This window comes from Homo sapiens, chromosome 10 (assembly GCF_000001405.40).
Source record: "Homo sapiens chromosome 10, GRCh38.p14 Primary Assembly".
In the NCBI taxonomy this organism is placed as follows: Eukaryota; Metazoa; Chordata; class Mammalia; order Primates; family Hominidae; genus Homo; species Homo sapiens.
The window spans coordinates 112,075,230-112,091,896 of NC_000010.11; the positions used below are offsets into that span (position 1 = coordinate 112,075,230).

A 16,667-nucleotide genomic window follows, 5' to 3' on the forward strand; every position below is an offset into this window, starting at 1 on the left:
CAGACAACATTGACAGAGGCTGGTGGTTAGTAAAGTAACATGATTCAGCCTTGGTAGCTATTAGCAAGTCTAGCAGACTTCACAGGGATTCTCTGAAGACACTAGACAGCGATGCACTTAAAAAATAAATCGACTTTTGGTCTGAAACCATTAGAAGAAAAAAATGAGGCAGAAGCAAAGGTCAAGGCTGAAGTAGGTTGATAAAGCACTGCTCCCTTGAAGATACCTTCTCTCAAGAGGCACTCCCTGCCCGATATTCCCACTGAAGAACAGTTCTCTGGCAGTTAATAATGGGCTAAGAGAAGCTGTGTTCTTTTGCTTACAGGCCCAGAATTGGAACTCATGATGGTGCTACTTAGATCACACCCCAGTGGGCAATCCCAGTTGAGAAATCCGGAAACACTAGAGAAGCTAAATGAAGCGTTTGACTCAAAGATGGGCTGAGTGTGTAGGTGGCTGGTGTTTGGTGCATATTGCTTTCATAGTAAATAAAGCAGGGAGAAAAAAGAAATCAAAATGGATTCTTTTCAACTTTTTTTTAACTTCCCAAGGGTTGGCTGAGGATAAGGTATCACTGGGACGTAGAAAAAGCTAGGGAAAATGTTGGCTTCTGCTTGCTTATACCAGTAACTTTATTATTTTATTTGTTTGAAAATAAGAGAAGGCAATCCAACTGCAGCCAGGACAATGACATCAGCACACTTAGGAAGGCCTGATCTGGGGATTGTCTTTTAAAATATTGAGTAACATCTTTCTGACCAAGTGAAGAAAGGGAAAAAAGTTATACTTATCTTCTGTTCAATAAACACTCTTCCTTAACCAGTTGCACTGCTTCCTTAAGACAATCTGGCAGTATCTAAAGCAATTGGAACAGTGATCTTAACCAAAACAAATACCTCAAGCATAAACAATGGAAAACACACTGAACCTCGAGCAAAAAGTCCTGGGTTTGAGTCCTTGGTCCCCCACTTACTAATTTCCTAACTCTCAGCATGTCACTTAATGTCTTAGAGTCTCTAGTGCTTCATCTTTTAAATCAATTAAACATTTCTACTTACCTCCAAAACACTGAGAATATCAAATAAAATACTGTATGGCAATGATTGTAACTGGAGCTATTTTGTCCCTTGAGAGACATTTGCCAATATCTGGAGACAATTTTCGTTGTCACAACTGGTAGGCAAAGAGACCAGGGATGCTACTAAACATCCTACAATGCACAGAACAGCTCTCAACCACAAAGAAGTACTCAGCTCAAAATGTCAATAAATGTCACAGTTGAAAAACCCTGATGTATGTCAGGTGCTATAAAGGTCCACTTCATTATCCTGCTTCTCTATCATAATGATGAAGATGGGTGTGATGGTTAATACTGAATTATCAACTCGACTGGATTGAAGGATGCAAAGTACTGTTCCTGGGAGTATCTGTAAGGGTGTTGCCCAAGGAGACTAATACTTGAGTCAGTGGACTGGGAGAGGCAGAGCCACCCTCAATCTAGGTGGGCACTATTTAATAAGCTGCCAGCACGGATATAATAAAACAGGCAGGAGATGATGGAAGAACAGACTTGCTAAGTCTTCTGGCCTTCATCTTTCTCCCGTGCTGGATGCTTCCTGCTTTTAGACTCCTGGACTTACACCAATGGTTTGCCAGGGTCTTTCGGGCCTTTGGCCACAACTGAAGACTACACTGTCAGCTTCTATGCTTTTGAAGTTTTGGGACACTGACTCATCCACCACTGGCTTCCTTGCTCCTCAACTTGCAGACGGCCTATCGTGGGACTTTATCTTGTGATTGTGTGAGTCAATTCTTCTTAATAAACACCCTTTCATATATCCATATAGCCTCTTAGTCCACTGGCTTAAATATTAATCTTCTTTGGCAACACCCTCACAGACACTCCCAAGAACAGTACTTTGCATCCTTCAACCCAATCAAGTTGATATTCAATATTAACCATCACACCCATCTTCATCATTATGATGGAGGAGCAGGATAATGAAGTGATTAAACAAATAGGATCTGGACAGGAAGACGTAGAGTCATTTTTCTAGTTCCTCCATTTCCTAGCTGTGTACTAGTCACTTAACTTTCAAGTTCCAGTTGCCTCACTTAGAAAATAGAGGAAACAAAAATGCATACAGCAATAAAGTGTTTCAAAGATTCACTGAGATAAAAAATGTAAAAGTGTTTTTATTCATTGAATGCTGAGCATTTGATAAATGGTATATATCATCATCATTATCCTTTAAACACAGTGATTGGCCACACATGTTTACAGCAGCACAATTCTCAATTGCAAAAATGTGGAACCAACACAAATACCCATCAATCAACAAGTGGATAAAGAAACTGTGGTATATACATATGACGAAATACTACCCAGCCATATAAAGAAGTGAATTAATGACATTCACAGCAACCTGGATGGGAATGGAGACTATTATTCTAAGTGAAGTAACTCAGGAATGGAAAATCAAACATCGTACGTTCTCACTCATAAGTGGGAGCTAAGCTACGAGGATGCAAAGGCATAATAATGATACAATGGACTTTGGGGACTCAGGAAAGAGTGAGAGGGGGTGAGGCATAAAAGACTACAAATTGGATTCAGTGTATACTGCTCTTGTGATGAGTGCACTGAAATCTCACGTATCACCACTAAAGAACTTACTCACGTAACCAAATACCACTTTTTACCCAAAAAACCTATGAAAATAAATTTTTAAAAAATAAATAACTAAACATGCTGATTAGATCATTCTGAGATATCAAATCACTCTCTAATTTTCGATCACCTACTTTGATCTCAGGGACCCAGCCTTGTCTTCCCTCTGAATTGTGGAGACCCAGCCTGTAGGTCATAAAATAAATTTGAGGAGGGAGGCAATACTGAAGTTCCTTATTCACAGAAGTCAATACATAAGTGATGTCATCATTACAGAGGTCAGACTTGGTACTTGCCAGATATAACAGCCTGATCTATTTAATGTACTTTCTGTGTTTGCAAGAAATTAATGCAGGAATATTGTCAGATGAACATCATATTATCTAATAGTTTACCTAAGTGAGACATCTCTGTGCTTCATTGTTCATACATTATTAACTCTACCTGTTGACCAAATTATTATTTACTAAAATGTTTTCATTGATTGATATTTACAATTTATTTGGAACTGCTCTCAACTAGCTAGAAGTAATCATCAAGAATTTCACAAAACCAACCTCCTGTTGGGTCATCATCGTGAACTTGCAAGCATCAGAAGACTCCAGTTTGGAAAGTGTGCAAAGGAGAGGTGGTATCCCTTCAATCTTTCAGAAGCATGCTGGAAGAGCAATCTTTCCAAAATATGAAGGATGACTACTTCTCAAGAAAGCCGTAACAGCTCTCTATTGCCATAAGATCAAGCAACAGCTCCTCTGTCTGGCTTCCTGTATAGTAAACGCACCTGACAGCAGTAATTTAAGCATACCCTGACAATGACTTTGTACGGCAGACACATCTGAATGTGTGTTCCAAGCTAGGGAATCTGGGAGTGGCCAACCTGGAGATTCATTTCCTACCTAGGATAAATATCTGAGTCCCTGGCCCATCCAGTGGAACACAAGCTGTGCAGGAATTGAGGTCCTGAGTTTTGGGTTAAATGAAGATTGCCAGGTGGAGGTCTTTAGGTTTTTAGGGGAGGCTGTTACATGAGAATGCTATATAAACAGCATGCTGTTTGCAAGTGGTTGCAGTTTTCCTGCCTAGTCTGCTGCCACTAGACTGTAGGTAAGGCAGGCACCTTGTCTAGCCCATTGCCACTGGACCGTTTCTGTACATAAGACAGTTCTCCTGTCCAGCCCGCCACCACTGGATTCTTTCCCCTGTATGTAACCCCCAGATAAAGCCCCAAGTTTCATTTGCCAGCTCTGGGTCTCTCCTTCGGCCTCTTTACCTGGTGCCTTCCCTGCTGAAGTTAACAGGAGTTCCACACAGTGCTTTATAACCCTGGTTCTATCCCACCCACTATGAACCCTCACAAAAGCTAGAGCCAAGTCACTAGAGCTGGTTCCTTTTGTTCTCTTTTTATTCTTATGACTGTGTCCTGCCTTAAGGGTGTCTTCTGTTCACTCGTGGCTGGGCTCATGCCTGTAATCCCAGCACTTTGGGGGGCCGAGGCAGGTGTATGACATGAGGCCAGGAGTTTGAGACTAGCCTGGCCAACATGGCAAAACCCCATCTCTACTAAAAAAAATATTAAAAATTAGCCAGGTGTGGTGGTACACATCTGTAATCCCAGCTACTCCAGAGGCTGAGGCACGCAAATCACTTGAACCTGGGAGGCAGATGTTGCAGTGAGCCGAGATCATGCCACTGCGCTCCAGCCTGGGTAATAGAGCAAGACCCTTTCTCACAAAAAAAGGGTGTCTTCTGTTAACTAATGCCCCAACTATCCCCCCAAGTCATTTCCCATGACCCCACTCCCAGCATGTTTTCCATCTCTCCAATGCCTTTCCTCTCCTCTGCTTAGCCGTGGTGATTGCCTCCATGTCTTTACTTGCAGAGCTTCCCCCATCTTGAACATCTTTCTCTCTAACTCTCTAATTCCCACCAATTTATCAAGACTCAGAAGAAGGACCACTTAGCTTTATAGTTAACCCCCGTTATTCCATTTCCCTCCTGTTAATCTCCTTCTTCTCTGACCTCTCACAGCACCAGTAGCTGCAATACATGATTTAGCACTTGATTACTTTCCGTCTAATAGGGTTGTCTAATTGTTTCAGCACACATTTGATCTGCAGTTGAACTGTAAAGTCTTCAAGGGAAGGACCCCATGTAGTCGACATCTTTGCTATGTCCCAGAGGGAGAGACATGGTCTGCATTGTAGGCAAACAAATATTTCCTTCCCCAGGGCTAACCTAGGTGAGGAAATTGACAAATACTTTCTGTGCACCTGCTGGAAGCAAGGCACTCTTCCCTGACCATTGCAGCCTCCTTGTTTACATAAAAGCAACACAGGTGAAAATATAAATGAACCTAAGATTAGGAAGACTGGGAAAATATTAATGCTCATGAATATTTAGCAGGGCTCCCTCATTAACTGGGTTTAGAGAGGTCTCCCTTACAATCACGAAGCTCTAATAAATGCTGGCATTTAATTGTGCTCATCCAATAGGAACTAAGCTGCAGGGGTTTGTGAGCCAAGAAGTACAATATGGTATAGAGTAGTGGTTTTAAAACCAAGCCTCACACAATTCCTAAACACTTTCAGGGTAATTCAGAGGCTGCCTGGAAGACAAAGGATGACTAGCAGGTGGTAATCTGAGCCTCCACCCTTGATTCAATCAGGGTGGCTCTTTTCCGACAGCTTCATATATTGGGCTTTGCTAGAGAAAAAAGTTCTGTTACTAAAATTCTATTTTAAAGAAAAGAAAACCACTGTAGACAGAATACTGCTTGGAACCAGAAGACAAGATATTTTTTCATTCCCAACCAATTATTACCTATAGGAAACTAGACTGTGCAATTTTTCTGAAGTTCAGTGTTCTCCACTTCAGGCGTAGGTAGGGCTTCCTCCACACACACTGGGTTGTTGGGAAGATCAAATGAGGTGACACGTATGAAAGCACAAGGCAAAGAGGAGCCATTTAAAACATGTATCATGAAGGCTGGGCATGGTGGCTCACACCTGTAATCCCAGCACTTTGGAAGGCCAAGGCTGGAGGATCACTTGAGGTCAGGAGTTTGAGACCACCATGGGCTACATAGTGAGACACCACCACCACCTCCCCCCCACCCCCGTCTCTACAAAAAACAGTTTTTAAATCAACTGGGCACAGTAGCAACACCTGTAAGCCTAGCTTGAGGGTTACAGTGACCTATGACTGTGCCACTGCACGCCAGCCTGGGTGAGACTGTGAGAGAAGAGAAAAGAGAAAAGGAAAGGAGGAAGGAAGGAAGGAAGGAAGGAAGGAAGGAAAAACCACATTGCATGAGAGTGAAACAACCTCATCTTTATCTAGAGTGTGGACATGGGCTGAAACACTGGACTTATGGGTATTTAGAGCAGACGGCTAACAGGAGCCTCTGTAAATCCAGTTCACTGTGGTCAGCCTCACCTGAGAACCTGAACGCCTCCAAATCCCCTGAACCAGAAATATCCTGCCATTGTCGGGGCTGCATTGTACACTTGTATGACACTCTTTTTCCTTCACTGTATATCAACAGGAATTAATTGTTTGGGCAAGTATTTGTTTAACTTCACCCTCTCCCAAGATTGCAAGCTTGTGTCTGTCTTGTTCAGGGCTGGAGCCCAAACAGCCATCACACACCTTGCAATAAATATCCCTAAAATACCTTGCTGAATAAATGACTACATAATTCAAGGTAAGACATCTCCATGCTGGGCACTGGGAACATTAGCAAGTAGAAAATAGGCTTCCTTGACATGAAGGGACTCTCCAGGCCCTGCAAATGACACAGATGGATGCAGATGCTATTGTTATAATCTATCTCATCCAGAGAAATAAAATTAGATTTCTATCTATATCTGTTACTACATCAGACAAAAAAACATTATTTGACTGATTTTTCAGTTTGGAGAATATATTTGGGACAGTCTAACTTAAAACACAATTTACATTTCTTATGAAATCCACTCTGAATTTCACAGCTGAAACTGAAGTGCAGTAAAAGGGCTGTTGATCAAGAAATACAAGCCATAATTATCGAATTGCTGTGGGAAGGGAAATACCCTAAATAAAGGTTGCATGGGTAGATACCCCAAAGTGCAGATGGTGATCTATAATTGAGTTACTTCTCACAAGAGCAACTCTGTATGCTAAATCATGTGGAGTTCTATCAGGAACTGGTAATTTAACGATGGTTAATGCTTCTCTAGCAAGGCCAGATATTTGAGGTAGTTATTCTGATTCTTGCTCATAATGACAGTTGAGCACCACCTAGCTCTAATTCTCACAACACACTCCCAGGCTAGTGTTATTGTGCTTATTCTACACATGAGTTAAATCAGGATCCCAAAGCTAATTGCTCAAAATAACAACTTGGCAAGTAGCCCAGCTGGGATTTGAGCTCCAGACTCTCTGACTCCGAAGCCCATGGTCTTGGCACACAGTCAGCCTTGCTTCCGGGAGAGGAAGGGACTGGAACCTTGTCCCAAACAAGCCCCAGGCACCAGGGCATCACTAGTGAGATCTAGGGTTGGGTGCCTCAGAGTCCAGACCTGGGCCGCAATCGTGTTAATTATCGCATGTTTTGAAAACAAAAAGTACCTGTTTTGGGAAAGCACATCAGGGGTCAATCCACAGATGTCTTGAAGGAGCTCAAGTCAGTTTCTGCAGTAGGTTGAAAATAGATTTCTTCCAGGAGGAAAGGTTTGCCAGGGAGGAAGCCAAAGCCTCTCTGTAAAGCTCAACTTACCCGCTCCCTGCTCCATGCACACACCTCTCTCCCTTCCCAGAAGGAACTGCTCTCCTGAATTGCGCTCATCATTCCATTGCATTGCCTTTTTTTTTTTTTTCAAGTTCTCCAGTTATTTTTGCCCAAACGTGTCCACATTACTCTGACAGATTGAAGCCTTAGCAAAATTTATGCAAAAGGAAAATTGTGGTCCAGAAAGAAGTTTAAGAAGAGTGACCATCATAGCCTCAGTTAACAGATATCTAAAATAACCAGCCCCATCAAGCAGGCTTTCTGGTGGGCAATGCCTCGCTTTTTCCTCTTATAGCAAGCTCCTTCTGATCTTTTATTGACTTATATATTTCTCCTTCTAGGGCAATACAAAGAGAAGATACATATCTCCCAGGGTTATTTGTTTACATTCTACATTTAAAAGAAATTTCCATGTTTACATAGTCGTAATTCTTTTTCTAACAAACCAGAAACATTTCTAAAAATTTAAAATTTTCCATGTCTCCATGACTTGCCAACAAACAGAATCCAGAAATGCATTCTTTTCCTATTCTCGTCCCCTCCCTTCCTTTCTCCTAATGTCCCGGACCCTACTCTTCTGCTGCCCAGAAAATCTTGTCCCCTGAGACCCTGACTGCTCCACTATGATCTTTCTCTTTATGCATGCCCGTGGTTGACTTACTGTCTCATGATCTTAGGCAAGAGCCTCCATTTTCTTCATTGTAGTGGACTCAGAAATCAAATAGCTCCTTTCCTTCTATTGAACTGATTCTCCCTCTCTCCTCCTGCCCCCAAATGTTTTATAATATTTTACCCAGAAGTCTGACTAATGTAAAACACTACACAAAACATCTCCATATCACCCCCTCCCATTTTCCTCTTCTGCAGTGACAATTTTTTTTTCGAATAACTGCATTGCTCTAACTCATAAAATTTCATTTTATGGGCCTGCACTTCTTTCGACATTCTATAATTTTTCACGGTCATCAGCAGCACTGGCTTCACTTCCAAGTGCAGATAGAAACAAACATGTTCTGTGATAAATCACAGTTTATGCAATCAATAAATCAAAGGGCAGTTGCTCTCTGTGGGAAAATGTTATGCTAAGGTTCATTTTAACCAAGAGCCTTCAGCAACTAGTAGAGTCCTACATACAGCAGGTGAGTTCCAGGTTAGCACAGTGTCTCTGCATATACACACACACCCGTGTGCACATACATGTACCCCCATAATGCTATTCATTTTTCCTTCACAGCTAGTAATAATGGAAATAACAATAGCTACACTCAATCAAGAGCTTACGGTGGGTTACTCATTGTGTTAAGCCCCTTTCATACATCATCTCATTTAATCCTCACATCTTTTTCTTTTTCTTCCTTTTTTTTTTTTTTGTTTTTTGAGACAGGCTGTCACTCTGTTACCCAGGCTGGAGTGCAGTGGTGTGATCACGGCTCACTGCAACCTCTGCCTCCAGGGTTCAAGCAATTCTCATGCCTCAGCCTTCCTAGTATCTGGGATTACAGGCAGGTACAACCAGAGTTCAAGCAATTCTCATGCCTCAGCCTCCCTAATATCTGGGATTACAGGCAGGCACCATCACACCACCATGCCTGGCTAATTTTGTTGTATTTTTAGTAAAGAAGGGGTTTTGCCATGTTGCCTAGGCTAGTCTCGAACTCCTGGCCTCAAGTGATCTGCCCGCCTCAGGCTCCCAAAGTGCTTGGATGACAGGCGCGAGCCACCATGCCTGGCCCCCTCACATCTTATTAACACTCTTTCACAGACTATGAACTTGAGCTTGGGGAGATTTTGTAATGTAATGTGATCACACAGCTGGTGGGTGAAATTCCACTGAGGATGATTATTTCATGGAGACCTATCTTTCCCACTAGATGGTAAAGTCCACAAAGGAAACATAGTGTCTGTTGGACTCTTTATGCCTGGCACATAGTAGGTGCTTAATAAAAGCTTGTTAAATGGATGAAATCAAGAAATGTTTTTGTTGGTGATGATGCTGGTGATGGCTCCACTAATCCCTTTAAAACAGGACTCATGTAGTTACAATATGACCGAGGCAGAACTTAGGAACATAGGAGGTAAACCAAAATAGTCCCAGATGAAACTGAAAGATGTGCAATGAGAACTCTTCCTCTAAATGTACATGTAACCTTAAGCAAATTCTTTACTCCCTCTGGGGCTGTTTTGTAGGTAATTAAGGAGGGGCAGGGGTTGGGGATGGCTCCTGTTAAACATGGCAGACCAAACACAAATAAAAATAGGTATTTACCTGTGTTTTCTTATTTTAAAAAATTCTAAAATTTCAGTAAATGAATTTATAAGAGAGTTTATAAACCTAACAAGACAAAGAGGAGAGAGAGAAGATAATAACAACAAAATTTAGAAACCAAAAAGACGAAGGAATTGTAACAAACTTACAGAAAGCAAAATAACATGAAAGTTAAGTTGAAAGCGGAAGAGGCCAAAATGAAGCCCTAGTATTCTGTATAACATCAGAAAGGCTTAGTGATTGGAGGTGCCTCTGAACACAAGGGCAGGGCTGGGACTAGATAGGCTGAAGGTCTAGCAAATAACTGGACTCACAAATTTCCATCCCCCGAAAAAACGAAATTCCATCCCTCCCTAGACAACACTGGCAAACAATGCCCCTATTCCACTCCAGTAGAAGATTGGAGGATTAGGCGGCTAGGAACTCGGGGACTCCAGGCGCCTTCTGTGGCTGAGAGTGCAATGTTGAAAACAGGGGACCCATGAGAAAGTCTCCAGGGTAAGTGGTGAGAGTCTTAGACCCCTGTCCCACTGTCCTCCATAAATGTTCCATCAAATTTATACCCTCCAGGCAGAATATTGGAAAAATTTTTCTCTGAGGAACATCAAAAGCCCAAGAAAAATGACCTCTGGATATTGAAATACCTGTGAGTTCCCCATTGAAATGGCCTTCCACAGTCCCCCAAAGGGAATTCCTCACTGCAAGACCTACCAGTGCAGGCAGCTTCTCATCACTTTTTATGTTTCAATTAAAAAACAACTGAACAGGAAGCCAAGGATCCTCAAATATTTGAGAAAAGTATCCAACATGAGAGATAGAAACCAAAATAACAAACAGAGATCAGGAAAAAACACCCAAAGAAAGCTATAATTAATATTCTCAGCATGATAAGAACAGACATAGCAACCATGAAAGAAAAACATGATGTTATTTACAAAAAAAAAAAAAGAAATGTGCAGATATTAAAAACTATATATTTGAAAATTTAAAAGTATGGAAGGATAAATGAAAAAATCCAATGAAGGTATCGAAAGTGAAGTTGAGGAAATCACTCATGAAGTAAAGCCAAAAAAGGTGGGAAACAGGAGGGAGAAAAAGAAAAGAAAATCAGTGTATAGAACCAGGAAAATCAACTAATAGAGCTCCAGAAAGAGAAAACAGAACTCAGAAAGGGAGGAAATTCCAAAAACAACAACAACAACAACAACAACTTAGAGAAAATATCCCAGAACCAGAGGGCTTGAGTTCCAGATTTAAAGTACAGTTCAAGCAAAGAAAAAAGACTCACAGCCCGGGCATGGTGGCTCACGCCTATAACCCCAACACTTTGGGAGGCCAAGGTGGGCAGAAAGCTTGAGTCCAGAAGTTCAAGACAAGCCTGGGCAACATAGTGAGACCCTCATTTCTACAAAAAATAGAAAAATTAGCCAGGCATAGTGGCTTATGCCTGTGCTTCCAACTACTGGAGAAGCTGAGGCAAGAAGGTGGCTTAAGCCCAGGAGGCAAAGGTTGCAGTGAGCCCAGATCATGCCACTGCACTCCAACCTGGGCAACAGACTGAGACCCTGTCTCAAAAAAAAATAATAAATAAAAATAAAAAGACTCACACCAAGACATACCACGGACACCACTGTGATGTTTTAGAACACAGGGAATAAACTGTGGACCCTAAGTGCCTCCGGGGAGGAAAAGCAGGTCAATAACAAGATTGAGAATCAGAATCACGTTATATTTCTCAATGGCAACAATGGCACAAACAAGAGGGAAAGCGGAAATGCCTTTAAAATACTGAGGGAAAAGTATTTACCACTGGAATTCTACCAAGTCAAACTACTGATCAAATGTGAAGGGTAGAATAATACATGATACATGTTTTCAGAAGTCTATTTATCATGTGCCCTTTCTCAGGAAGGTGCACAAGGATGATCTTCATCCAAATAAAGAAACAAACAACAAATGGGAAGACATGGGAGTGAGAAAATGGGGATCTAGTACAGGAGACAGGCAAAGGGAACCGCTACAATGGCGATGGAGAAAGATTCCAGAATGACAGAACACAGACACAACAACACGAATGTACATATGTGTGTGTGTTCAAAGATTTATGCAAATACACATGAGTTATCAGTTGTGATTGCATATGTTCCCAATAAGATAAACACTGGATGATGAATATTTTTTAATGTTATCATGAGATGGAGTAGAGAGGAAATGGCTTGGTAAGAAAGCTAAATCATGGTCTTCTATAGCAGGAAGTTGATGAACAATATCTAACACTGAAAAATTAAAAATCCAAGTATACATGCATAGCACTTGGAAATACAGAAGTAAATGGGAGGAGAAATGGTGAAAGACTAAAAGATCTGTTAATTTCCTCTGGGAATGAGGATCAGAAGTGGGGCAGAGTGGGATCCAGGATTGTCTCTTTTGGTTATAAATTTTATAGAGAAGTTTGAATGAGCTAATCTGTAGTTCCCTGAGTTTCTAATTGGATTTTTGGACATCTATTTCATAAAATGAGTTAAATTTGAATTCCAAAAGTCCTACATGAATCCCTCTTGCCAGAATAGAACCCCCCTTGTCTCATCCTTAATGGAAGAAACTGCTTATCCTTCCCCATCTGAGCCAATGCCAGGATTACACATCCCCACATTGTCGGATGCCAACCAGGCTCCTACACAATGATGTACATGTTTCAGTTTTCAGCATTCCTATTTGAGCAGAGGTTTGGTTTAAGTTTACATCATAAAAGCAGGTAAAGCAAGTCAGTGAGGTGCCTCAGTGAAGCTGACCTGGAAAAATTGAAAGAGTCAAACTACTTATTAAAAAAGAGAATTCAAAAACATTCTTTGCTATTTTAATGAGCCCACCATTCTCAAAGGAACCTTGTGGAATCTCCTTGACCATCACTAACTAGGAACCATTTGCAGGAAAAAAATAGGTCATATTTCGGCTAATCTTATTTTAAATGGAAATTTCTCTGTGATGCACTGTTGAATGATAGAAAACAGAAACAATTACATCTTGAAGCTCCAGGCCTTTGGTTCTGTGAAGTTAGACATAACCTGAGTGGTCTTCTCCCGCCGCCCCCTCTTCTTCCTCCACGTCCTTCCCTTTCCCACAGCAGGTTTGCTGACCTCCAGGTGAAGTAATTCATCTCACTCCATGTCTCTCTCAGCTGTCTTCACTTCACTTTCCAATACAGGCAGCCCTCGGGAGCCCCAACATGAAAAACAGAAACAGAGATTCTCCCCTCCCCTGCAGAGTGCCTCCCTTGGGGAGCAGGGGTCTTGATGAGGATGCAGGGCGGGCTCTGCGGACGCAGAGTGATGGATGTGAGGGGCAGGCACGCGTGCTCTCACAGGGCACACAGCTTTCATCCTCATAATGAAGACACATGCAGTCGACAGGAAAATGGCTGTCTCATTAATGTTCCTTTTTGCAGCATGGGGACATGCTCCAAATGCCAACCTCAAAGTGCAAGGGGTCTGCAATAACTGGGAGCCTGGGCAAGGAGCCACCAGGACAGCCCTGGTGGCTGAGATATTCGCTGTCTTCCCCACCACCCTTGTTAGCCTAAAAAGCAAGAGATGCAGCTCCACAGCCTTCTAGGAAAATCAAACCTCTGGTTTCAGCAATCTCACGGCCTAATTTCAAGGCAAATAAAACAGTCCAGAGTCAGATGGGGCAAAAGATACAGCATGAAAATACCCTTACCGGTGTCCCTGTTTTTTCTCTCTAATATCTATAATGTTGTGAGTGCCTCGCCTTCTAACACAAATCATCCCTACCCATTCCATACCCCCATCCAACTTCCTCCCCAAAAGACAAACTATGTGCCAGCTGAATACATTTTATTAGCCCGTAAAGGCTAATTAAATCACCTAATTTCAAGACACTGTACTTTCTAAGGTCCAATGGATTTTAAAAATGTTATTGACCTACAGAACATAAATGAGCCAAAATATTAACATTCTTAGAATTCATTCCAACCATGCTGTGAGAGGCATTCAGCGTCAGGACTGGGGTACTTTCATAGGGACCTTAGGAATGTCCTTATACCACATCTTGGAGATTTTACCCAGCAGCTGTTTATTGAGTGGGTACACAGGGCCAGACACTCCGAAGTTTTCTGAGATGTCTGGCACAAGACCCTTGCCATCAAAAAAGCTCCCTGTGCTGAAGAAAAAAGAAACAAACCTATAACTGAAAGAAACATGAAATAAAGACTCCTGGAATGCCACACAGTCCTACGGAAATAACAAGGAGAGAGAAGTTCATCCTGACTGAGGGAGCCTGGGACATAGGAGGTCATCCTTGAGATGAGCCTTGGGAATATGTATTGCTTCCAAAGGACTGGATATGGAAAGATGGTGCACCAGACAGGGAGACGGTGGAAGCGAACGCCCAAGGAGTCAAGTGGACATGGCCCACTAGGGAACTCTAGAGCCCATTAAGTGCTCTAGAGCTGATGCCCACTGGCCTCTATCTGCAGGTGAATTCTCTAAGCAGGCAGCTCAGGAAATATGCAGAATAAAATAATGATGATGGAGCCTAATACTGGTTTTTAGAAGTCACAAGCTTGCTAAATCCCAGTTTCCATCAGAATAAAGCAGTTAGACTAAACGAAGATCTCTGCAGTTTTGTAATTCCATGAGGCTGAGAAGAGGGCAGCTGAGTCCAGAATGAGAGATCGTTCAATGCCAGAACAAGACATACGGATTTCTCTCTAAAGCAGATGGAGAGCCACTGCAGACTTTGTGAGCTGAGCTGTGACATGGCCTGGCTTGTTTAAATGGCGGCAGCAGCAGAGTAAAGATGAACTGGAGAGGCCAGATATTAGAGGCAGATGCAAGGAAAAACTAGATCCCTGACTTCAGGCCATAATGTGAAAGAAAGCAAACCCCACTCCCCATGCCATAAAAAAAAATAATAAAATAAAAAGGAAAGGAAATGGCTTTACTTGCTAGACCTAGAATAGACATTGGCAAGAATCTGCACTTTGACCCTCTTCTTTTTACAGATTAAAAAAACTGAAGGTCAGACAGCCTGACAGGTGCAGAGCAGGTTCGGAACTCTGCTCTCCAGGTTTCCAATTCAGGATTGTGGGGTCCTGCATACCTTCAAGGGGTGGCACCTTCTCACTGATTTGCCCTCCCAAAAGAAGGCAAACATTTAATCTTCATTTTTCAATACTCTGGGCTACTTCCCCACCCTCTGAGATTACCAATCAACACATTGTATTAATTGGGGATTTCACTTGTTAATCAATCAGATATAGGGGGATTTATTAGTGCTCATGGCAAGAATACAATTCACAAAATTCCATCAGCTCACAAAATTGACGGAAAAGCTTCAACAACCAGATGTTCCACACCACTAGGTATGTACCAGGTGTATGTAATGTTTCTGATCCCTGTTCATCCCCTCATTATCTTGCATGTCAGCTGGGTCTTTTTGCTCCTGGCAGCCAGGTAGAAACATGGCTGCTGGTAGATTCAATTTGGCAAACCCAACATAAGGAGAAACCAGCTTCTTCCCTGTGTTCATGTATCAGTCCCAGAGAAGGATTCCAAATGGCTCTGCAAGAATTACCTGTCCACCTCTTAAATCAGTCACTAATGATTTTCATTAGCCATGCCTGGCACCCTGGACCATCCCTCTAGCCAGGAGGAAAAGGTCTGTTTCCAGAGGAAGATGTTTTCAAAAACCTTTTATTTAAACAAAATAAAATAGCTTCCCTAATCTGCTAAACCCATCTCTACATAAAAATCCTCAGGAAATTGCTATAATTTATTTCCTCCATGCAGAGTACATCTCCTTGGCTGTAGGACATGAGATTGGAAATGTATGCTGACCACCTCTTGCAAGCATGTTCCAGCATGAGCCCCTAAGGAACATTCAGGCAGGAACATGATGCTAACCCCAACATTTCATGCAAACATTTAATGTAGCTCAACTGATTAGTGATTAGGTAAGAAAATGCATATAATGTTATACTGTGGAAAGGTTTACCCTCAATGTGTCTGATCTTGCTAATAGCAAACCTCTATAGAACACATCTCTCTAGAGCTGACGCCCACTGGTCTCTATCTGCAGGTTCTGCCTTGCCCATTATTTTAAAACCAGCCTGCTTTCAGGCAGGAGGCACTTGAGCAACTCTGCCATCATCTTACCCAGGTACTCTGGTCCCAATCTTGAGTCCTTGTTGGAGTAACCAGGCCTCTGTCTTGTTCCAAAGACCCACTTTCTCATTCAGACAACCTTATCTCATTCTCCTATCTCAATCCCTGCCTAGGCCCTTCATCCCAAAAGACTGAAGCTCTATCCCAAGCATGTCCACCTTGCACCCCTTGTGCCATGTGTGGCCCAGGACAGCTTTGAATACAACCCAATATAAATTTGTAAACTTTCTTAAAATATTATGAGGTATTTTTGTGATTTTTTTTTAGTTCATCCGCTATTGTTATTTTATATGTGGCCCATGACAATTCTTCTCCTTTCAATGTGGCCCAGGGAAGCCAAAAGATTGAACACCCCTGCTCTCTCCTCTATCCTACCTTCATGAGTCCTCTCCCAAGGTTCTGACAGATGTCTCAGCCTAATAGTAGAGACCCTCCCGCCTTCACTAGTGCCATCTGCCTAGGTCTGCAAACCTCACCTCCTTCTGAATTCCCCAACACCCTGCTCAACCCCAACACTCTGGAATGTCCATCTCCCAGTGTTGATCATCAGAGAGGCCACCTCTTATTTGCTGGCATTTCTTCCAGAAAATGCCTGTGGTACCTGTTCCCACTCAGGGGGAGGATCTTACCTGATCTTACCTGATCCCAGCCTTAATTACCCAGCTGTGTTAAGCAATATGCACTCTAACAACTATGACACTAGGTCAAAAGTCCCACAATCCCATCCCCTAAACCCAGCTTACACACAGGTGAAGGCTGAAATGACAGGAAATACCA

The 16,667-nt window shown here is 42.2% G+C and overlaps 1 annotated feature.

Annotated features, from left to right (window-relative positions):
- Positions 69 to 269: a silencer, noted in NCBI's record as "peak1087 fragment used in MPRA reporter construct". NCBI's record gives its function as "represses an SCP1 promoter by STARR-seq MPRAs in K562 erythroleukemia cells {active_cell/tissue: K562}" and the evidence as "EXISTENCE:reporter gene assay evidence [ECO:0000049][PMID:32103011]".